At 35.9% G+C, this 24,517-nt stretch overlaps 1 protein-coding gene and 1 long non-coding RNA gene across 13 annotated transcripts in view; both read left to right on the top strand.

Annotated features, from left to right (window-relative positions):
- PLSCR4 (phospholipid scramblase 4) overlaps window positions 1-6,443 on the top strand; it is a 58,771-nt gene extending 52,328 nt beyond the window's left edge. For all 12 annotated transcript variants that reach the window (NM_001177304.2, NM_001128306.2, NM_020353.3 and 9 more), the window contains 3 exons: window positions 1,985-2,146; window positions 3,496-3,654; window positions 4,323-6,443. In NM_001177304.2, the coding sequence (NP_001170775.1) occupies window positions 1,985-2,146; window positions 3,496-3,654; window positions 4,323-4,367 (366 nt within the window). In that variant the 3' untranslated portion in view covers window positions 4,368-6,443. The remainder of the gene's footprint in view (window positions 1-1,984; window positions 2,147-3,495; window positions 3,655-4,322) is intronic.
- A 1,796-nt stretch (window positions 6,444-8,239) lies between these two features.
- Window positions 8,240-22,637, top strand: LOC105374145 (uncharacterized). The gene is made up of 2 exons (XR_001740949.2): window positions 8,240-8,979; window positions 21,598-22,637. It is a non-coding gene; the product is annotated as an uncharacterized LOC105374145 (long non-coding RNA).
- The last annotated feature ends 1,880 nt before the right edge of the window (window positions 22,638-24,517 follow it).

The raw sequence follows: 24,517 nt of genomic DNA, 5'->3' as shown, positions 1-24,517 counted from the left end.
AATCAAAGCCTATAGATACAGCCTTCTGAAATTATAGGAAGCCAGAATAAAGGAAAGCAAATCAAAATTACAGCTGGGCAGGATGGTTTACACCTGTAATTCCAACACTTTGAGAGGCTGAGGTGGGAGGATCACTTGAGGCCAGGAGTTTGAGATCAGCCTGGGCAACATGGTAAAACCCCATCTCTACAAAAATAAAAAATAAAAAAATTAGCCAGGCCTGGTGATGTGTGTCTGTGGTCCCAGCTACTTGGGTGACTAAGGTAGGAGGATCACTTGAGCCCAGGATATCGAGGCTGCAGTGACCTGTGATTACACCACTTCACTCCAGCCTGGGTGACAGAGAAAGACCCTTACTCCTAAAAAAAATTACAAGCCTAGTCCAATTTATGACACTTTTGTCTCATAACTTTACCTAGGTTTTTCTTCAGATTTCTCCAGTTTTACTTGTATTAATTTGTGTGTGTGTGTATACATTTAGTTTGTGCAGTTTTATCATTTGTGTAGATTCCTGTTTCCATCAGCACAATACAAATCCCAAACAGTTCCATCATCACCAAAGTCCTCTTTTATTACCATATCCACATTCCTCCCTCCTCTTTGTCCCTAGCCCTTCAGAACCACTAATCTGTTCTCTATGTTTATAATCTTGTCATTTCGAGAGTGTTATTTTAGCAGAATCATATAGTATGTAACTTTTCAGGATTGGTCTTTTTCATCCACAGTAATTAACTGGAGATTCGTACAAGCTGTTACCACTAGTTCATTCCCTTTTATGGCTGAGTAGTATACCATGGTATGAATTTTTAAGGAATTTATTTTTGTACATTTTTATTTTTATCTCATAGGTTTAAACTTATATGAGAGCTCTATGATACTCTCAAATTTATATATTTGTATATAGGTGTGAATTTATACATATGAACAATAATACCTTAATTTAATAATTTATGAAGCTGTGCAGTCCTGTTCCATGTCCTGGGTAATCCTTTCCCCAAATTCTTATGAAAGTACATGTAACACCAGAGAAATAGTCAATAAAATTTTCACTTTGGGCTTTTACCAAATAATTTAATCTTTATGACTCATTATTATTAAACAGGAAGATCTTAATTATTCACAAAATAATATTGTTGAAGATAAATAGCTAAAAACAGGGTAGTGGACAATATTTTAAAACTTTTAAAAAATGGCTTTATAAACCCATGTACACATTTTGTTGTTTTCACAATATATAATTTTCAAAATGCCTCTTTTTTGTTTTCTGTTATAATTTTCATGTCTGAGATTTGATTTTACCCAATTTCAAATCTAAAAAGTCAGCTTAACTGTTTAATAGACTGAGTCAGAAGAAATGAGACTCCTAGGAAGGAGACAGAGGACCGTTTTACAGCACAGCAAGCAGCATAAGTGTGTAGGTTCCCCTCATCTCCAAGTTCTGAGGTTGACTTGGAGAAGCCCATTGCTTCCTCATTGTAAGCCTTTTATTTTTTACTTATCCTGAGAAAATTGTTCTTTCTGATGGAGAAGCAGTGTAGTGTAGTATCAACAGTAAGCCTTGAAACCAAGCCAACTTATCTCTGTGCCACTTCCTAGTTCCATGTTTTAGAAAGTGTTTAACACTTGCAAGCCTCAGTTTCCTCATCTGTAAAATGGAGATTAAAATACTTATATTTTTCAGAGTTATAAATATCAGCTGTTTATGCAGCTTGCCAACACTGAACTTGGACAACTGGCCATTATGTAACAAGCCCTAATTAAGCCTGCTGTCTATCCCAGAGGCAAACATGACCTCATCCGTTAAAGCTTTTCACTGAAATCCAACCTGAAGAATGGCCTGGGTGAGATGGAAGGCTGTCACTCCCAACAATAATTTCCCTAGTCTTTGAATGAGTGAGGACACATCTAGATTGTGTATGTGCGTATGTGTAAGTGTATGTGTATGCATGTAGCATCCTAACTTCTGTCACTGTTTTGTTTGCAGCTGGAGGTGCAGTGTCCTCCTGGTGTCACCATTGGCTTTGTTGCGGAACATTGGAACCTGTGCAGGGCGGTGTACAGCATCCAAAATGAGAAGAAAGAAAATGTGATGAGAGTTCGTGGGCCATGCTCAACCTATGGCTGTGGTTCAGATTCTGTTTTTGAGGTGAAACTATGTAAAAATAGTGTTTCTGATATTTTTCCTACTCATATTAACAGACCATGGAAAGATCTGGTTGTAGACATTTTTTTTTAATGTGAATGAATAACATAGTGTTAGGAAAGAGTTAATTAACCAGTTGACATCAAAAGATTTTAAAGTTATTGTGAGTAGATTGAGGTTTTCCAAAATGAAAGCTTTTTTTATGACTTCAGTACTTGATAAAAATAAAAAGAAATCATTTAATACATTAAATATTCTGAGAGTAAATAGCTTGACCTAATTCATCTATTCTATTGTTGGCTATATGTAATTAACCATTTTTTTCCCTAGATTTCTAGGCTGGGAATATAGGCTCTAAGTAATGCAAGTGCCCAACATGTCACAGAACATACCAAGTACTCCTTAGGCTGTGGAAATACTTATTTGCAGGATACAAGTCTGTCAGCATCCTCAAGAAATCGGATAACACTAACAATATGGATAAAACTTATAATAGTTTTAACATTTTTTTCAATAAAAAGAAAAATTATTTTGTTTTGCCTTTATCTCACTGGCTACAAAATGCTGGTTCATTACCCTACGAGTCTGACACAGGAAATTCCTAGAAATATTTCCTAGGCTTCTTAAAGAATATTTTTTGAATGCCTTGCAATTAGGCAAGATTCATCATCTTCAAAACTGCTTGCTCATATGTTTCCTATGATACTCAAGAAACTTTCCTTAGTTCTTATTTTCTATTACTGTATCGTTAAGCATTGCTTATTTATTAAAAGAGCAATGTAGATAAGCCAGATTGCTAGGGCAGGGTGTGTGTGATCATTCCCATTGCCAAGTGACATTAGAAGTTAGTATTTGGATATTTTCCCTGTGACAAGTGCCAGGTTTCCCCTTTTAGAAACTGAAGCTCGTTGGTATCTGGCCGTATATTAAGAAGACAAGGTGAATTTCACTCACAAAAACTTAAGTGATGTGAAGTGAACAGTACTTGTTTCCCGGTTTTTGCTCATAGGTTTCCCTAGTTTGGAAGTGACTCTCTCCCAATTCCCACCCTTTACTATGTTGAGAAGAATTTCATAATCAGTTCAAATCATACCTCTTCTTAAAAGGTCCCTTAATAACTCATTTGAAGATGAAGAAAGAGCAGCAGTCTGAGACTTTTAAGAATACCCTAGCTCAGTTATTAACCAGTTGCAAGGCAGTTAACCCTTTTTGGCCATTATTTTCTCATTTCAAATTATATAATTACATAGTCTTTTTCTGCATTGTATTTATGTTATCTGAACATAAGCAGAACATTAAAACATGCTTCAATGCGTTTCAATCATCATAAAGGCACATTCTTGTCATTCCAGGTCAAATCCCTTGATGGCATATCCAACATCGGCAGTATTATCCGGAAGTGGAATGGTTTGTTATCAGCAATGGCAGATGCTGACCATTTTGACATTCACTTCCCACTAGACCTGGATGTGAAGATGAAAGCCATGATTTTTGGAGCTTGCTTCCTCATTGTAAGCCTTCTATTTTTGAGTTATCCTGAGAGAGTTGTTCTTTCTGATGGAGAAGCAGTATAGTGTAGTATAAAGAATAAGCCTTGAAACCAATCCAACTTATCTCTGTGCCACTTACTAGTTACATGGTTTAGAAAGTGTTTACACTTGAAAGCCTCAGTTTCCTCATCTGTAAAATGGAGATTAAAATACTTATAATTTTCAGGGTTATGAATGTTAGCTATCATGGTAAAATGACCAGGGGAGTACTTAGATAACATTAGGTATCCATTGGGTATAATTATCATCATTGCATGTTATTTGTCATTGTCACTACTTAAAAATGCCTAGCCTATGATTTCTTAGTGAAATAACTCTAAAGTGGATGTCCCATTCCTCCTTCCTTTCTGCCTGTCACTGTACTCTTTGGGGTTGTCCAATCCTGAGATTATGAAGTTTTTCCTCTTTTTAATGATGAGATTCAGTTAATTGGCACTTCAAATGGAAAACTAACAGTTCCAAATTTGTAACTGCTGCTCTTCACAGTAGGTGCTCTTCATAAATATTTCCCTAAATTTATGTATTTTAACTGGAATGGGGGAATCCCCTAATAAATTACAAAGGATAATACCGCATGCATTATACCTAATTATCTATATATCTACATATAATTCTTTTTCCAATTTCAGGACTTCATGTATTTTGAAAGATCTCCACCACAACGTTCAAGATAGAGAGACACAGCAAGCCATCAACTATGGTTAATTTTGAAAAATGGAAAAGTTGGATTGGGCTTACAGTCAGCACTCAGTTATTTGCAAGTGTATTTCTTTGCTTTGTAGAGTATTTTTATTGGGTGTTAACTTTGACAGCTGAGAGTGGGCTTGCAAGAACACAATCTAAAAGTGTGTTTCAATTGAGTATCTCTCTAGTAGAATAGGAGTTCATCCTGAAAAGCTGTGACTCATTAACCCAGTAAACATATACAAAGTAAGCTTAAAACACTATAAACATGAGATAAGGGAAAATGAATCCAGAGTTCTCATATTAATAGGTAGTGAAACAATAAGGCTTTTTAGAGCAGACTTTGTTGGCATAAAATAACCTGGCTTCTATCCCTAACCCTTTCCTACCTTTCCTCTCCGTCAACATGTCCTCATACTGAAGACAAACTTGTTTCAATGATAGTCTTCATTTTTAAAAACAAAAAGGCAGGCAGACAGAAATAATGATGTTTTCTTGCACTAAGAAGGTACTACTTGTACACATATATCAAAACCTCATTCTGCAAAGTTTTTGAAGGTTTCAATGGGAAATTTGATTTTATTACAAAATAAAACATTTTTTAATGTTAAAGTTTATATATTCCATGCTTGTTTTCTCATTCACTGGCATGGATGATCAGGAGCTGCCTATATATGAAGGCAGAATCAGACTATCAGGAAAGGAGCTGGCCAGGGCCACAGCCAGTCAAGATCTCTGAGCAACTTAGAGACATTGGTGTCATTATATGAAGCTTGCATTTAATACATTTATACATAATACATTTGTACATTTAATTCATAACGTCTCTTGGTCACAGATGCCTTATATATAAAATAAGTTGCCAGATCTCTAAGATTGCCTAGTACACCTTTGTATCTCATTTGATGTGATACCCAGAAGAGATCATTGTTTTTTGTTTTTGTTTTTGTTTTTTTCAAGAAGATCCTTCGTGATCACCATGCTGTTCTCATGGTAAGAACTGGAGTTATGTTTTTAAATTTGGAAATATGACATTTTATGTAGCACTTTATAAAAAGTGAAAGCGACAAATTCCACCGCTGCTTAATACTGCTTTGCTTCTTTTTATTGACATGATAGATAAATATGTATCTACACAGAGTAATAATAATAAAACACAGTAAACATTCTATTTCTCTATGGTCTACAGCATGCCAGTAAATAATATGTAGGACCAATAATAAATTATCAATTACACATTTTTGTGTTAACTAATTAAAAGCATAGTGTATAAGTGAGTACACTCTAATTAACTTGCTTCTGTTGCACTTTAGTTTTCTACCTGCATATGGACTGCATTTTTTTTTTTTAACACAGTCAGTATGTAGAATGGGATGTATTCTTCTGCTGCTGCTTATTAAATAAAGAAAGCCTGAGTGTTCTTAGATGGGGTTATTCTGAGATGAGGGTCTTAGCCTACAGTTCTTTTTGAAATGAAAGGTGCTTTGTTTTTTAATTATATTCATCTTTTCAGGGTAAATTTGTTTTTCTGAGTTTCTCGTAATGCTCATTTTTACATGCTGCTACTAGCTTTTTTTTTTAAAAAAAGTAAAAGTTGCTGCTTTCTAAAATATTAATTGCCTTATATTTGAAAGTGCCATTGCAATCGTAAGTAGACTATGTATTTCCTATAATGATGTCTGATATTTAAATAGGAAATCAGACAAACAATATTCAGAAAGTTTAAGCATATAAACTTTTTATTTTTAACTTGCCTAAATCCCTGTATTCCAAAACCTGCTGCATCATAATAAATATATCTATATATATTTAGCATAAGACGTGATATTTTTAATTTCTTTTTTAAAAAATTATATTTGTCTCTTAGAGTTAAAATTTTCTTTATATAATATTGTCATATGTCATAGTTTTAATACAATTCACATGATTTCTATGTTTCTTAATGATATTTTGTTGTGTAAAATTGATCGGATTGATTAAAAAACAAATTCTCTGGAATTTGTGCGTTCATGCTTTTTCGTATTCTTTATGGCTTTTAAATAAATATACAATGGTTAATAGTAAAACACTGTTTTATTTTTTGACTTTGAATCTTCAAATACTTTTTTCACAGGGATTTTGAAGTAATTTTTATTGATTATTAGGTTTATTCAAGGCCCTTGCTTTCTAATATAAATTTTAAATTATTTTTAATTTATATATTTAATATATATTTAATTTATATATTTTTAATTATATATATTTATATATAATATATATAATTTATATATAATATATATTATATATATTTTTATAATATATAAAAATATAATTTATATATTTTTAATTTAATAAATTTTAAATTATTAAAGTCAGCCGGGCACGGTGGCTCACACCTGTAATCCCAGCACTTTGGGAGGCCGAGGCGGGCGGATCACGAGGTCAGGAGATCGAGACCACGGTGAAACCCCGTCTCTACTAAAAAAAATACAAAAAAAAATTAGCCGGGCGCGGTGGCGGGCGCCTGTAGTTCCAGCTACTCGGGAGGCTGAGGCAGGAGAATGGCGTGAACGCAGGAGGCGGAGCTTGCAGTGAGCCGAGATCGCGCCACTGCACTCCAGCCTGGGCGACAGAGCAAGACTCCGTCTCAAAAAAAAAAAAAAAAAAAAAAAAAAAAAAAAAATATATATATATATATATATATATATATATATATAAAAAGTCATTTCTGTAGTGTTGCTTAGTGGTAACTAGCTTTCTTATATGACCAAGTTATTTGTAAATGCTTATTTCTAATCCTCCTAAGATACATTTAAATTTCAAGTATAATTTCAATGTCAGTATATCATGAAGGAAAATTGCTAGAATTTGTAACCATCAGTGAAGAATGCATTTTAAACATTTTTTCTAAATGACCATTTTTTCCAGAAATTATACAAAAATCAGGTTACAAGACTTATTTTTTCTGACCAACTAGATATTAAATCAAATTCAGGTATAGAATAATCAGAGTGATTCTAGAGTATGGTATATTGATCCTGTTGGAGCAGCTGGCTGCTTTTCAGTCTTTTTTTCCCCCAGTGTTCAAGGTCGGATTTAATTTATATTGAAAGAAGCAAGCTTGGAAAACCCATAAGAAGTCTGGATTTAATAAACTAATATCAAACTCATCTGTTTGGCTAGTGATAGCTAATGTTAAAAATGGATCTTTTTCCATAACTTCACAGAATGCATTTCCCATTTTCCTCTAGGCCTCTTAAATTGTAAATCTCAAAAAAGAGAAAAGCAGAGTGATACACTCCAAATCAGTCCAAGTGAGGCAGAATAATATACTATGTGATAATACTTGGCATGGTTAATAATAGCACATGGTAGGTATTTACTCAGTGTCTGCTAAATGAATTAAAATATAGTAAGTAGATATATATTTGAAATATTTGCTATAGTTGTCAGTAAAACTTCTTGTCATCCTTACCACTATTTCATTCCATCAATACTTTACTGAACATTTACTAAATTCAGACACTGAGCTATTTCTTAAGGCAGAGAGAAATACAAAGGTTAAAATATATAATTAATACTCTCAGGGGCTCACAGGCTAGTGGGCAAGATAGACTTTTAACTTCTTTTTTTTTTTTAGACAAAATCTAGCTCTTGTCCCCCAGGCTGGAGTGCAATGGTGCAATCTCAGCTCACTGCAACCTCCGCCTCCCGAGTTCAAGCGATTCTCCTGCCTCAGCCTCCTGAGTAGCTGGTATTACAAGGGCCCGCCCCACGCCCGGCTAATTTTTGTATTTTTAGTACAGACAGGGTTTCACCATGTTGGCCAGGCTGGTCTTGAACTCCTGACCTCAGGTGGTCTGCCCACTTCAGCCTCCCAAAGTGTTGGGATTACAGGCGTGAGCCACCGCACCGGGCCAGGATAGACTTTAAAACAAACAAAACACACATTTTTTAGGACAACAATGAACACATACTCAGTGGAATGTTGGCACACTCAATAAAGGCCATGTCATTAGCACCATCTCAAGTGCTGCATAATATATTTTTGTCCCATTTAATGAGACAGTTAAGGCAGGCTGTGCCATATGTCCAGCGGAACTTCCTGTTCCTGCTGGAGGTAAGTAAGATGCACTTTATAGCTATGTCTGCAAGCTGAATGCATGGTGGGTGTAACTGAAAATGTCAGTCTTTCTAATTTCATCAAGCAAAGCAGGGATCGATTGCTTATTATGGTAAACCATGAGTACAGGGCAGTGTCTGGTATATCTAAGATGCTCAATAAATATTGGTGAATGAATGAAAAAAATTCAAATATGTGTATGACACGGTGCTAGGTGTTCAAGAAGATAGAAAGGAACATGCAGTCTATCCCTCAGCAAGGATAAAGCAAGTAGATAAATAATTGTAGCACAAAGCTAAGTAATTATTACATAAAATAGTGTTTTTTTTTTTAAATGTGTATTACTGGATTCTCACAACTGTATCATGAGGTAAACATCAATCTCATTTTTCAGAGGAAGAGTAAACCTCATCAAGAGGTGATAGTACCAAGAAGATGAAATGCTATAAGGAGTCCCTGCTATAATTGTAATGAAAGAAAACCAAAGGGTTGGATAAAAGGTGAGATACACGAAATCTCCTAGAGCTAGAGGAGCTACTTCCACCTAGCGGTGGAACTTAGTTAATGCAAGAATTTCTAGAGCTGCGCAGTCTCAAGGTTCCAACCAGAAATCTGATGAGGCCAATCGTTGTAATCCTGTGTCCCAGCTGCCCAGAGCAGGTTCGTGGTGAGTGTTCACTAGTGTGTGTAATGAGGGTGGGGAAGGTGCTAGAGCTGGGGAGATGGTAATGCCTTTGCACATAGTATCTAAACAAAAAACTTAAATTGCAAATTCTGAAAACATGTACTGCCATTAGCTAGCTTAATAGTTGCCTATTACATTTCTTGCCGTTCTTACTTGTACTGCTCCTCAGCAAAGAAGCCAGTTGTGAAATCATGTAATTTGGGGATATATAATTGCTATCTTTACCCAAAGATTTAATTCTAGGCCAGATGTTGGACATTCATCTGGGGCACATGGAGAAAAAGCAACCTAATCATGAGATAGGTGGGATGATGCAACTACCTATAATAACAATAGTGAAAATGATGAAGACTATAAAACCAGCCAGCTCTATTTAATGCTTCCTACAAACCAGACGCTGTTCTAGTTCTAAAGACTTTCCATATATTAACCCATTTAATTCTCATAACCCTATGAGTTAGATTACTATAATGATTCCCATTTTACAAAATAGAAAATGAAGATTTAGGTATCTTGCACAAGGCCACTCAGCTAGCTGTATATCCACAAAGCCGTTATGTGACTGCCCAAAGCACTGAGAAGCAAAAAGAATAAAGCTGGAGGCATTACATAACCTGACTTCAAATTATATTACAAAGCTGTAGTAACCAAAACATCATAGTACCGGTATAAACATCCAGAGGCTACACTCCAAATTTTTATGCCCTGTTTTTCTTTCATCTCTGTGTAATATTTGGTTTCTTTGTCTGTTAACCCAGAAATACAGGGAAACAGAAATAGAGGAGAAAGGTGGCATGCTACTTCATGTGTTTTAAAATTTAGGACTATGACCGGGAAACGCAAGAGACTCAGAAGTCTTGTCTGAGGGTAGCTGTCTCCAGAGAGGCTTACCTTTGCTCCTATTGGTGCCTCAGTGGTGTTGCCAGCTGATGACCATTTTTTTATATTATTTCTTCAGTTTGGTGTTTCCCAAGTCATGTATGTATTTCAAATATGAACCCCTAAATGATGTGGACATATCCTGGTTTATGAATTCTCAGGGAACAAATTTTCCCTACCTGTAGCAGAGGTCAAAACAATCAAGCTTTCTCTTAATTTCTATTTGCCAATTTTTCTATCTCACTTTTTACACTGGAGTGTGTCCCTTTGAGACTTTCCACTTTACTGGGGGTCTCTCTTCTAATATCAACCCTTGCCTAAGCCCAAGACCTCACTTCCAGCCTCATGGTGGTGGGTAAAATCAAAGCCCCTTCCTAATAAACGTTGGTGACTCCTTCCATTTGAGAAGCCAAAGAAAATGCCAGACTAAGCTTAATAGTCAGACGTTTCCAATTTTTCTTTATTTTTAACTTCTGCTAAAATCTTGTACTCTCCCAAAATCTACACTTTGCATCTAAAAGCCCTTTGGTTATATTTCAGCCACACTTTATATATTCTATGGAAAGAGGGGTTTTAAGATTATCTAATTTGCAACATTGCTAGCAATGTGAGTGACCTATTTTTTTAAACTGCACATGATTTTTATGTGAAATATTCAGAGGAAAATTCTTTAACATAAATATAATCATATAATATTGAAACTTGCAACTTATTACTATTTGTTATACCTAACTTACAACTAAATATTTTCTCTTTGAGATGAGTTATCTATCATCATATTATTGAGTTCCAGATTCTCTTAAAATGTTTAATATTTCTAGTACTACTGTTAAGTAAAAGACATTTATTTAAAATTGTGTCAGCTCTTCTATGACCCAGGCTTAGGCAAATTTATTTTAGGAAATTATAGGAGCAATCTTTTCCTTAAACAGTTTTGAAAACATGTTGCTCAAATTGTCTTAGTTAACAATCACTAAACATAGTTTACATGAGTTTTAACTTTTTTCATTATAACAGATAAAAGATAACATAGTTAGAAATCAAACCATTTTAAAACCTCTTGATTTTACAGAAATAAACAAGTAGAGAGTGCCAGGGAGAAGCAAGTAGAGTGACAAAATATTTATCTCGCTTTGCTGCCTTTCCCCGCTCCATGTCAGAAAGCTGAATAAAACAAGCTACAATAGGGGGCAGCACCAGCTCATGGATTTTTTTGTTAAACTATGCTCATTTTTTAATCCAAGAATTTATCAGTACCAATCTATAAATTTTAATGAATAGTATCAGTGGATTTTAAAATCAGAAGAAGTGTTAAGGACCATCTGCTCTACATTCTAATATACAAATGAAGGAAGTGGGAGAGGCCCAGATTATGTGTCTAAAATTACATTGAGAATTAACTAGTAATCAAACCAGAACTAAAAACACAGATCGCCATTTTTATTCCAGTTTCCGTGCCGCCACAGCAAAAATTTAGCAGAGATTTAAAACATTTTAAAGCAACATCTTTCATAACATTGAGATTTTAAGCATGAAAAAAATAAAACCCAGTTTCAAATTATTCTAATGTTCAAAATCTTTTTTAAGCACATACTCATGGTGTCTACCTCAATAAATCAGATTAATTTCAGAGGTTTTCTAACTATAAAGGAGAAATGAAATTACTATGTTATAAAAACAACAACAAAACATTTAAAATGTGTATGTCCTAGGTAACATAGAGTATTTTTTATTTATTCCTCCACTCACACACTGATATACCTTTATCTTCTTCCGTAGTCACCATGCACATCTGAGTTCAATTTCTTTATTAAAATATGTATTTTTACATTTTTTGTTAAAAACTATTAATTGATAGATTTTCCTGCTTTGAAGGGATGTAATTGATAGTTAAAATGAGAATGTCAGATGGGCACAGACAGAATCAAGCCATTATTTGAATAGGAAAAGGAAAATATGGCTAATGGGCATGGAATACAATCTGCCCACATATGACCCAGGCTGCCTACTGGCCTGATAGATGACATCGAATGGACAATATGGCTGGGGATGTGGGGATATTTTTTCAAAAGTCTGGCAAATCAGATGACAGCCATGAAGATTTTTCCTGGCCATGTTCAGGGTTCATTTTATTCCTTTGAATTACTTAGATATTACTGTTTTTTTCTAATATTTATAACATTTCTATTTTTTTTTCTGTTTGTTGTGTTTGTGTATCTCTCTTAATTCTATATGGCTTTATGCATTTCTGTTTACAGAGTAGTCATGCTACCTGTTTGAGTTACAATCAGAGGGCCTGCCTGGACATAGAAATCAGGGAGAGATTATATCGTTTACTTCAATGATAGCTCTGTAACTTTCAAAAGGAAACTATGTTTATATTGCTGGTATTTTGAGAGATTACTTTGTCAGTGAAATCCATTGAGAAATAGGTATCGGAGGAAAACAGAAATCATTTTTATCCTGATAAGGCTGTTATAAGGATATGCCATATATTCTGGCAACAATAGGTTTGCAGAATGATATAGAATCAGTTACCCTCCCTGTCTCAGGCAGAGGTGGAAAAACAGAGGGGTTCCTGGTAGAGGCTTGTCTCTCTAATACTACCCCATGGAGTAGGTAGGACTATGTGTGCCCTTCAGACAGGCTGCCTCCCCAAAGAGAGGCAAAAAGAAGGAATTGAACTACTCATGCTCAGTTTTTTCTTTCAGAGGGCAGAGAATGGCCAGGAGTGTTCTGTAATGTCACTATCTCACATGGGAATGTCAGGAGTGGGGAATGATTGTGGGAGAGGTGTGCTTGTCTGTTGAAGTCTTCCCTAATGTTATAGCTTCTGATTTCATTGATTCACATTGAAGCCTGGAATAAACACAGTATTTCCTTTCAGCTAGGTGTAGAAACATGGCAAAGTTCTGGCCCATTAAAAGTGAAGTGTGGCAACTTCTTTAAAAGATAAGTGGTGTGTATCTTTTGCTGCTATTTATTCTTTCCTGCTTCTTGTGGACTCCAGTGTCAATGTGAAGGCTGGCAGCAAAACACCTTTCTTGGACCATGAGCTGATCTTGGGAATGTGAACCATGAATAGTAGAACAACACGATAGAAGAAACTTGGGTTGCTGAGGATTTCTCAGATAAAGTAATGTTACCACAGAGCTGCCATATGATTCCTAGACTGTTTTCACTTAAGGAATAAAATGTTTAAATAAAATTTTTTGGAGGGGCCTCTCTTATCTGCATCTAAACCCAATAATAAAATACTTATCTCCCAACATACAAGCTTTTAAAATATGTAAGCCCTAAGTCAGATGTTCATTTTAAAAAATGTATCTAAGGGTTGATAAATTTAACCTAATTGATTGTTACAATTTTTCTATCTATGACACATTCTTTTCAGAGTATAAGCATATAATTCTCCATATTTTGGTAAATGATTAAAAATTTTGGTAAATGATTAAAAATAATTAAAAAGTTAAAAATAGATCAAGGTTTTAATAGCAGATACCTCTAGAAAGTAGATTTTGGGAGTTCATATTTATTTTAGATTTTTCCACATTGCTTGAATTTATAAGAAAAATATTAATTTCATAATTTAAAAAATTAAACTTTTTGAGATATATTATAACTAGAAATGACATTTCTATACCTGGAAAGGCCATGGGATGCCATTTTTAGGCTACAATTTAGGGCTCTCTAATGAAGAAACATTAAAATTTACTGAAAACTTTATACTAATAGCAATACAAGGGTCTTGCCTGTAGACATTGATTTAATTGTTCTTGGTGGGATCTGGGCATGGGTATACTTAAAAGTTCCCCAGATGTTTGTTACATGTAGGGAAAGTTAAGAAGCACTGGACATCAGTCACCAGCTCCTCACTGTTGTACATGAGTCACCTGGAATACTTTGAAAAAAAATCCCACACCCTGGCAGAATTCCAGAGCCACTGCACTGGCATCTGGAGTTCTTCAGGTGATTCTAATGTCGAGACAAGTTTGGGAACAGCTGTTACTGCCTGAAAGCCTCCAGGAAACTTTCCCTCAATTTGCATGTAAGCCAATAAAATAAACTCTCTTGCTTTTATCTGTGTTTTTAGCCAAGTTGCTAGATAAAATACAGGTTCCTATTAAATGTAAATTTCAGACATCAATTTTTAGTAAAAGAATGTCATATTTTTAAGACACACAGAATTTAAGACACACAGAAAAATTATTCATTGTTTATCTGAATGTCCTTGAATGCGATCAAATTTAATTGGGGTGGGTACTTCCTGTATTTCCCAATATTTTTATGTGTCAAATCTGGCAACCCTACAAACAAAACACAGCAGTACTCTAAAAATCACTAAAGATCAATGTAAATTTTCTCTGTATGTAAAGGAGTGTTAAGGAGACTGAACACTGAGGAGAAAGCAAAGAGGAATCACCTTGCTAATGCCCAGTAATACCTCCTAGAAGTCTTCATTCATCTCCTTTCCTGAATAGTCTTAAGCTTTATTATAACAACTGGCTTAGTTTCTTTGCTGTATGCCCTCACTCAACTCAATAAGTAGGCAACTCCCAAACTCCACTTTTATTACTTCCATCCCTACCCTCACACCTTCCTCCTTTTGATCAATTCAACCTATTACAGTTTTTGCTAATATTTTTTTCCTGAACCACTCAAAAAGGTTGCAAAGCAAGAAAATGCACATATAGACTAGCTGGTATAGGTTTGCAGAACTATTGTGACCCCTTTTCCATGTATCATACCACTTTTATTGATGTGGAAATGTAAGCTTTAGAGGATAGTGAAATTCAAGTAAATTTATCTCCTATGCAGAAGCTCTTTAGTTTAATTAGATCCCATTTGTCAATTTTGGCTTTTGTTGCCATTGCTTTTGGTGTTTTAGACATGAAGTCCTTGCTCATGCCTATGTCCTGAATGGTATTGCCTAGGTTTTCTTCTAGGGTTTTTATGGTTTTAGGTCTAACATGTGAGTCTTTAATCCATCTTGAATTAATTTTTGTATAAGGAGTAAGGAAGGGATCCAGTTTCAGCTTTCTACATATGGCTAGCCAGTTTTCTCAGCACCATTTATTAAATAGGGAATCCTTTCCCCATTTCTTGTGGTTTTCAGGTTTGTCAAAGATCAGATGGTCGTAGATACGTGGCATTATTTCTGAGGGCTCTGTTCTGTTCCATTGATCTATATCTCTGTTTTGGTACCAGTACCATGCGGTTTTGGTTACTGTAGCCTTGTAGTATAGTTTGAAGTCAGGTAGCGTGATGCCTCCGGCTTTGTTCTTTTGGCTTAGGATTGACTTGGTGATGCGGGCTCTGTTTTGGTTCCATATGAACTTTAAAGTCGTTTTTTCCAATTCTTTGAAGAAAGTCATTGGTAGCTTGATGGGGATGGCATTGAATCTACAAATTACCTTGGGCAGTATGGCCATTTTCACGATGTTGATTCTTCCTACCCATGAGCATGGAATGTTCTTCCATTTGTTTGTATCCTCTTTTATTTCCTTGAGCAGTGGTTTGTAGTTCTCTTTGAAGAGGTCCTTCACATCCCTTGTAAGTTGGATTCCTAGGTAAGAGCTTCTGCACAGCAAAAGAAACTACCATCAGAGTGAACAGGCAACCTACAAAATGGGAGAAAATGTTCGCAACCTACTCATCTGACAAAGGGCTAATATCCAGAATCTGCAATGAACTCAAACAAATTTACAAGAAAAAAAACAAACAACCCCATCAAAAAGTGGGCAAAGGATATGAACAGACACTTCTCAAAAGAAGACATTTATGCAGCCAAAAGACACAGGAAAAAATGCTCATCATCACTGGCCATCAGAGAAATGCAAATCAAAAGCACAATGAGATACCATCTCACAGCAGTTAGAATGGCGATGATTAAAAAGTCAGGAAACAATAGGTGCTGGAGAGGATGTGGAGAAATAGGAACACTTTTACACTGTTGGTGGGACTGTAAACTAGTTCAACCATTGTGGAAGTCAGTGTGGCGATTCCTCAGGGATCCAGAACTAGAAATACCATTTGACCCAGCCATCCCATTACTGGGTATATACCCAAAGGACTATAAATCATGCTGCTATAAAGACACATGCACAGGTATGTTTATTGCGGCACTATTCACAATAGCAAAGACTTAGAACCAACCCAAATGTCCAACGATAGACTGCATTAAGAAAATGTGGCACATATATACCATGGAATACTATGCAGCCATAAAAAAGATGACTTCATGTCCTTTGTAGGGACATGGATGAAACTGGAAATCATCATTCTCAGCAAACTATCGCAAGGACAAAAAACCAAACACCACATGTTCTCAGTCATAGGTGGGAATTGAATAATGAGAACACATGGACACAGGAAGGGGAACATCACACTCTGGGGACTGTTGTGGGGTCGGGGGAGGGGGGAGGGATAGCATTAGGAGATATGCCTAATGCTAAATGATGAGTTAATGGGTGCAGCACACCAACATGGCACATGTATACATATGTAACAAACCTGCACATTGTGCACATGTACCCTTAAACTTAAAGTATAATAATAATAAAATAAAATAAATTTATCTCCTAACTGCTGTTTTCAGTGCCATTTTCAAATATAAACCACAGAGTCTCTTTCCATAATGGTCTAGAGAGAGAAGGAAGGACTATTATCTCTAACAACTGTTACACTTCATTTTCTGGAATTCTCTATCAACCACACAAACTGTGATGATAGATAACAAATATACAATAAGAGCACGTCAAACACTTAAGTTATAAGTGTCTAATACTCATCTTGGGGTAGGAAATAATATATAAAGTTTGGGATGTGTTCTACAGAAACATTGTGATGTATTAAACTGTACTAAATTTTGTGGGGCCCAGACATTGGCTTGAGTGTAGCAGCCAGCCTTACTAATAACCTTAGGCAGGACACGAAGCTCTGTGCTCTTCCACTTTTGCATCTGTAAATTAAAGCCATAATGCCTGAATTGTTTTGATAACAGTGTGATTGTGAGAACTAAAATGAGATAATGTATGTGGATAAGGCTGGCCCTTGGAAACATTAGCATTTTTACTAAGTAAAAGCAAAGAAGGAAGTGTAGGAACTGGTCTAGTTTTGCTCTATACAAGGTAACTTAGGCTCTTGGATAGGCTTTTATGAGCTATCAAGGCAAATGGACCCAGAAATATCCTCAAGGGATAAAAGAAATGTTTGGTTAGCAGGCCACATGTAAGCAATGATTTTTTTTTTTTTTAAGTAAAAAGAAAAAATGAAAAATGCCAGGCCACAAGATTAGCCCTCTTAGAGGCTCCTGGCATCGTAACTGGGGATCATGGATATGTTAAATAATCATGTTCGCTTCCCTTGATTAGATGGAAGCATTAAGTCATCTGAAACTAAAACTGAGTCACAGACAAACTTACGGGAAGAAACCCAAAGTCTGAGTGGTAAACGAAATGGTGAAAAAAATGTGTATGGATTCTATGTTTCCGTATGTCCATGTTAGCAAGACTTCCCCTAGTGAATCATGACCCATTTCTGTTTTTAGAGTTCAGGTGACTGCCTTACCTTGGGCCCCTCTGTTTGAATGTGATCATTTGGACAAACTCTAGACTCTATATGCCATTAAAGTTTTCATGAGGAATTTTTTAAAAAATCAAACATCATATTTAACCCTCCAAGAAAGAAAAGAAAAGCAATGTGAGTAGCCAAGTTATCTAGCTACAGATAACTCATTTGTTTGGGTTTTAAACACACTGAATTGTTTGCAAACCTATCTGCCCTCATGTGTGTGTGTAACAAAATATTCTTTGTCAGGACTTTAGTTGTGGTGAGAGCCTGGTGAGCATAATTTCCTAAGGTCTCTTTTGTTAACACAGTTTTGGAACTCATCTTTTAGAAATGACCCCCTATTCTGCAAACTACAAAACAGAATTCGTGTCATAAACTCTATGCTTCAGTTGAAACACTCACCATATTCACTCACTTATGTTAAACCCATCTTTACCAAATTAAATTACTCCATTCTGAAAACCACCAGTGGCTTTCCATTTACTCACAAAGCTTTGTTTCCCAGAAGGGTCCTAGATCATTCTTACGTCTTCAGGTAGCTTACCCCTTTTCTTCATGTCACCACCTCAGGAAGACATGCCCAGACCCATCCAGTCCCTCACGTCATTCTCTCTTCTTGGCAGGTAACACCATCAGAAATATTACTTGTTCTACTTTTAGTTCTATAAGGAATTGCCAAACTGTTTTCCGCAGTGGCTGTACTAGTTTACATTCCCACCAGCAGTAACGTGTTCCCTGTTCGCCGTCTCCACACCAATATCTACTGTTTTTTATTTTTTGATTATGGCCATTCTTGCAAGAGTAAGGTGGTATCACATTGTGGTTTGATTTGCATTTCCCTGATCATTAGTGATGTTGAGCATTTTTTCATATGTTTGTTGACCATTTGTATATCTTATTTTCAGAATTGTCTATTTATGTCCTTAGCCAACTTTTTGATGGGATTGTTTCTTTCTTTCTTACTGATTTGTTTGATTCAGCAATCCCACTATTGGGTATCTACCCAGAAGAAAATAAGTCATTATTCAAAAAAGATACTTGCACATGCATGTTTATAGCAGCACAATTCGCAATTGCAAAATTGTGGAACCAACCCAAATACCCATCAGTCAACGAGTGGATAAAGAAACCATGGTATGTATATACCATGGAATACTACACAGCCATAAAAAGAATGAATTAACAGCATTCGTGGTGACCTGGGTGAGATTGGAGACTATTATTCTAAGTGATGTAACTCAGGAATAGGAAGCCAAATATCATATATTCTCACTGATATGTGGGAGCTAAGCTATAAGGACACAAAGGCATAAGAATGATACGATGGACTTTAGGGACTTGGGGGGAAGAGTGGGAGGGGGACGAGGGATAAAAGACTACAAATATGGTACACTGTACACTGCTTGGGTGATGGGTGCACCAAAATCTCACAAATCACCAATAAAGAAGTTACTCATGTAACCAAATGCCACCTGTACCCCAATAAGTTATGGAAAAAAAGAAATATAATTTGTTTGCTTGTTTATAAGTTCTGAAAAGGCAGAGATACTGTGTGTTATGTTTGCCCTATATCCTCACTGCCTATAGCAGTAACTAACAAGAAGTAGGGACGAAACAAATGTTGAATAAATGCCATTGAGTATAAGCAAAATAATATGATCATCTCTATAAAGATAACTTCACATGACACATTTAGAAGGCTGTGGATAAGAATAGCATCATTAGAATTATTGTGTTCCCAGTCATGATAGTTACTTTAAAGCAGACACTAGTTATTTGGAAATATCCATTGGCCAAAAGAAAAAAAAAGGCATTTTTGTTTAAAAATGCAACACGTTCTATATTCAGCTTGACTCTCTCTTCTTATGCTTTTCTAAGCCTTTTAGCAAGAGATATTTAACACCTGGCTAAAGTTTTGTCCTCTGATAAAAATCTAGGAATAATTTTTCTCCTCACTCAATTGCTCTGCAGTTCCTGCTTTCAGAAGGGGTTAGGAGGTTAGGGATGGAGCAAGCGTTAGGAATAGAGCAGGGGGTTAGGAGGTTAGGAATGGAGCGAGTGTCTCAGAAGTCAACACAGGAAGCTTGGGAGCTGTTAATTGGCCTTGTTTCTATCTCATAACAATCGGTTGCTGGTAAATGAGGGTACCAGTTGAGGGGATGGGAGTCAATTATATTGTTTTAGGCATTTGTTACAAGGAGAAAACCACCTAAGACCTTAGGTGGCCAAATATGTAACCTGGGTCCTTCTCAATATTTCTGGAAGCGATGAGCAATGATTGCAGTAGCAGTTTGGTTTGTGTTTGTTTATTTGCTTGTAATCTTTGCTGTTGCTGTTGCTTCTGCACCAGGAATGGTGCATTGGTGCAAGATGGCAGAGTCTGCTTTATAAGGCAGAAACTTTGTTATTTAATATATTAGAGGCTTTGGCCCTTAGGTTTATGGACAGGAGTAATTAATGACTTTGTTCCTTTCTTGGTTGGAAAGCCTTTTTCAAATTGGTAAATACTTAAAACACCAATAACAACAAAAACTCAGTGGCAAGTTGTTGGCAATGGACAGAGAAACTTAGGCACACAGGAACTCTATCAAGACTAACTTAGCTGATTTAGCAGAAGTGAACAGAACTGAAATGTAAATCTGTTCAGGGTGGGATGCCAATGAGAAGTAAGCCAATTCTTGAGTTGAAAGATGGGACATAAAATTGTTTATATGGTATGATTGCAATGTTGCTTCACATGCATGTTCTTTCTTGCTTACATACACACAACATAAATCATAAATATACATATATTGCAGACACAACACTAAAAGAAACACATCAGAATGTAAAGACCAGTTACTTCTGGGGAGTTGGATTCTGAGTGATTTTGTTTTCTTTATTCTCTGTTCTCCCATTTTCCTTGCCAAGCTTCCGCATTCGGTCTCTTCATATCCAGCTCTGCTACCAAAGAAACTCTGATGCTTCTCCAGCCCAAGTCAGCCAAGTCCTGAAGTATCCAAGTTAACCTCTGACTTCCTGGGCTCAGAAATGTTTTGTTGCTTCTGTTTGTTCTCCGTCCCTGGGTCCACGCTCACGGGATTAAATTGTTCTTCACATTAAACTCCACTTAATAGTTTCCTTGTCTAGCACTCAGGTAGTTTTAAAACGTGGCCAAAAATTATTTGACACTACTCCTAGCGAGAGATGGGGTCTTTGTCCCCTCCCCTTGAATATGGGTAGTCTTGTGATTGTGAATGTTTCAACCAGGTGAGTGTGGTGGGAATGACACTGTGTGGCTTATGAAGCTGGGACATGAGGGGAAGTGCAGTTTCGAGTTTGTTTCTGGAACACTCACTCTTGGAGTTCTAAGCCACCATATAAAGTCTGACTACCTTGAAGCTGTCTGCTGTGAATTAGCTCAGGCTCCCTGGAGAGACTGTGCATAGGCACTGAGCCCAACAGTGAGTGAATGAGCCTTCAGATGATTCCAGCTCTTTCAGTTTTCTCTCAGCCTTTGAATCTTCCTGGCTGACACCACAGACAAGGAGAAGCAGGGTGAAGCTGTTTTTACTGTGCATTTTCTGAATTTCTGAGGCCAGAATCTGTGAGCTTAATAAAATGGTGGTTGTAAGTGGCACTGCCAGATTTTGGGGTGATTTGTTACACAGCAATTGTAACCAGAACAGGAAATTTGAATCCAACTTGCGCCAGACTTCTTACAAAGGACTGAAGTCAGCTGTTTTCTTTCTATGGCCCAGGAGCTAAATGCAACTATTCTCCCATGCTAACATCATGCTCTTCCCAAATGTTCCATTAACTCAAGCAGCCTGAAAGAGAAACTCTGCTTCCTATCACAAATATGTCCGAGGAGCCCCTATACATAGTTAGAGATTTCTCTTAATAAGTCATATCCTTCCCTTAGTAAGTCATATCCTTCACCTGTGAAACTTCTGGATCCTGGGATTAAATGACTCAATTTGCTTTGCTTTCCACGTTCTAGAAATTGTCTCACTTCCTAAAAAGCATGAATGAAGTTGTCTTCTGGTCCAATTTGGATTTAGCTGAAGATTCTAACCTGAACGTTTTCTTCAGTCAGGACCTAAGGACACATTTACCCTGAATGTCAGATCCCAGAAGAGAGGACAAAGTAAAGGTATAGAGAACATGAATATAAATTGAAAGCACAGGAGAAAATCAGAACTAAAAGGACATTTTAAAAAACAAAGCAAAACCGTCATTCTTGGTCATTTACTGTGTGCCATTATGTTACATGTATTATGTCATCTCAACATAACAACAGTTCTAATGATGTAGATATTTTATTATACCCATGATAAATGGAGGCATGTATCTTTCCTAAGGTGGGCAGAGCTTATAGTTGTACATATTAGTCTGACACCAGATCCTGCTCTCTTAATCACTAGGCCCTACAGTCTGGAAACAATCAACATTATTTTTATACTAATATTAAAGTGTTATTTGCCTTTTTTCACTTTCATTATCTCATGAGTATGTGGGGGAATTTTCCAATGTATATTTGGAAGCTCTGTATAACTAAGTGAGCCAATATATTGGAAACATTTGATGCACAAAGTTACAAAATCATACATGGGTAAAAGATCCATTCAAATAGCAAGATACATGAATTGATTTTAATTTTTAATATAACAGAATACCAAACAAAGATTTCACATCACAACCAACCTTTCAGAAATTGCCATTTTTCAAATTTTGGTAAGTCATCAAAGAAGACTATCCACACTTATCTGAAAAGGCTATTAAGATAATCTTGTCTTTTTTTTTTGCTACATATTTGTATGAGGCTAGATTTCTTCATGTACTTCAAAAACCCCATGAGGAATTAAATGCAGAAGACATGAGTATAGCTGTGTCCTCCTAACCCAAGTATTAAAGAAATTTGCCATTCTTTTAACTAAATGTTTTGTTATAAAATATAGTTATTTTTGACATGTTATTGATGTTACCTAGTTAACATTGTTATTTTAAAATGAATAAATATTATTTAAATATCTGTTTTAACTTTGAATACAGTACTTTGAATACAGTAACTTTGAATACAGTAAATATCAATGAATATAACCCTTACAAATAAAAGGTCTTTGGGGCCTTTAATAATTTTTAGGGATGGAAAGTATTTCTGAGACCAAAATGTTTGAGAATCTCTGGCCTAGAAATTTGGTAGATGAATATGTAGGGCCAAAGAAATGAGCCTATTACTTTTATTATGATAGAGTCTGTATTGTATTTAAGTGCTTCTAAATGTAAAGAGAGAGAGGTGAGTGTGTAGGAGAGAGGGCCATTGATAAGGTACAGTGTGTGAGGAAGTTGCAAGTGAGTGGATCCAGAGCAAAATTGGAGAGACTTTCCCGGGAGAGTCAGCAATGACAGTAAATGCAAGTCCATCTATGGTTGGAGCAACAGAAGTAGGAGGGGAAGTTAGTTCAAAATCTTTATACTGATGACCTCTGCTTTTTCTGTAAAGTAAACGGTAAGAATTATTTTAAGAATGACACTGTGGGTTGGATGCTGAGGAAAGAGGTAGATAGTTGTACAAGCCATTCAATTAACAGAGAAAGCTTCCAAGGATCAGATAGCCTTACGTTGGCAAATGATCGAAAATGAGTTCTTGCATTCCTGAAATGTCTCATGGAAAAAGTTAATGGTTTTCTGTTGTTATTTAATATTGTTTATTCAGATTGTACTTAGCTCTTGCAAAGAGCAAAAAATTGAGAAAAAGGTTATCTTATAAAAAAGATAATAATAACAACTTGGAGTTAGGCATCTTAGGTACATCTCATTAAATTGAACAGCAAATTAAACAGTTTTTAAAATTTTATTTTAGGAAAGGTTGTTACATTCTTCTTTATGCCCACTACAGAGTAAAAACAATGTGACTATTTCTAATGTAGTATATGGCTTGCAAGTACAGAGCAAGAGTTATTTCATTTGTGAGGTTGGAAACTAATACTTGATCAAAAATCATTTGTCAAACTAACTTCCAAAGTTTCCTAAAACAGAATCGCACTGATGTAACTTTAAAAATAAATATTGGGCTTTACCCTGTTTCTGATTCAACCAAAGAAGACATAACCCTTTCAAGCAATTCGATGAAAATATCAAACAATGCTATATCAAATTAATTCATAATTCAGGTTGATAAGACATGTTTTCCTGGGAGTTCACACTGTGAGGTTGGTAGAAAGCCTTGGTGTAGCTCTGGGCCTGCTATCTGTCATGGGCCCAGGAGGTAAGAGAAGGCACTTTCTGATAAGAACTCATTGGAGAAGCAGAAGATCTCCATGCATAGTGACCTTACACAACATCTTCCTTTTTACAATTACTACATTCCTTTGAAAGAGGCTAAATGTTTTATCTCTGAAATGCACACAGTGATTACTGGCACTATGAATGATGCCAAATTGTATTAGCAGATCCTTGTGGCAACTCAGGGAAATGTAAAACCTATGCCTCACGTTCCATAGCTACCTCTTCACTCTGTCATGAGACCAAGACCAAACTTTCTTCAAATGATGCACTAAAAAAGTCAATAAAATTCCTTTTGTAGGTGGGCATATGAAAGCCTCAGCAACATTTGATATGAAGGGAACAATATTGATTTAGATTGTCTTGATGGTGACCTTAGTATCTATGAGTACTTGATTCTCAGAGTTATGTTACTCTAGTACTGCAGATCATCCACAGATTTATTTTATAATTTGAATACAATTGGTTTCTTAGTTACGTTGAAAATTGAACTTTGTTTAATTTTTGAATGTATTTTCTCAAATTACTGCAAAGAACAAATTAATGCAAAATAAAATAGCAGATGTTTTGTGGACCTTCTCTCTTGCATTAGTGCTTAAAATCATTATAGGAAAAACACTGGATTGAGTTTAGAA

This window comes from Homo sapiens, chromosome 3, assembly GCF_000001405.40.
Source record: "Homo sapiens chromosome 3, GRCh38.p14 Primary Assembly".
NCBI classification, from domain to species: Eukaryota; Metazoa; Chordata; class Mammalia; order Primates; family Hominidae; genus Homo; species Homo sapiens.
Note: the sequence above shows the minus strand (reverse complement) of the source record. Positions and strands in the feature narration are given on the sequence as shown.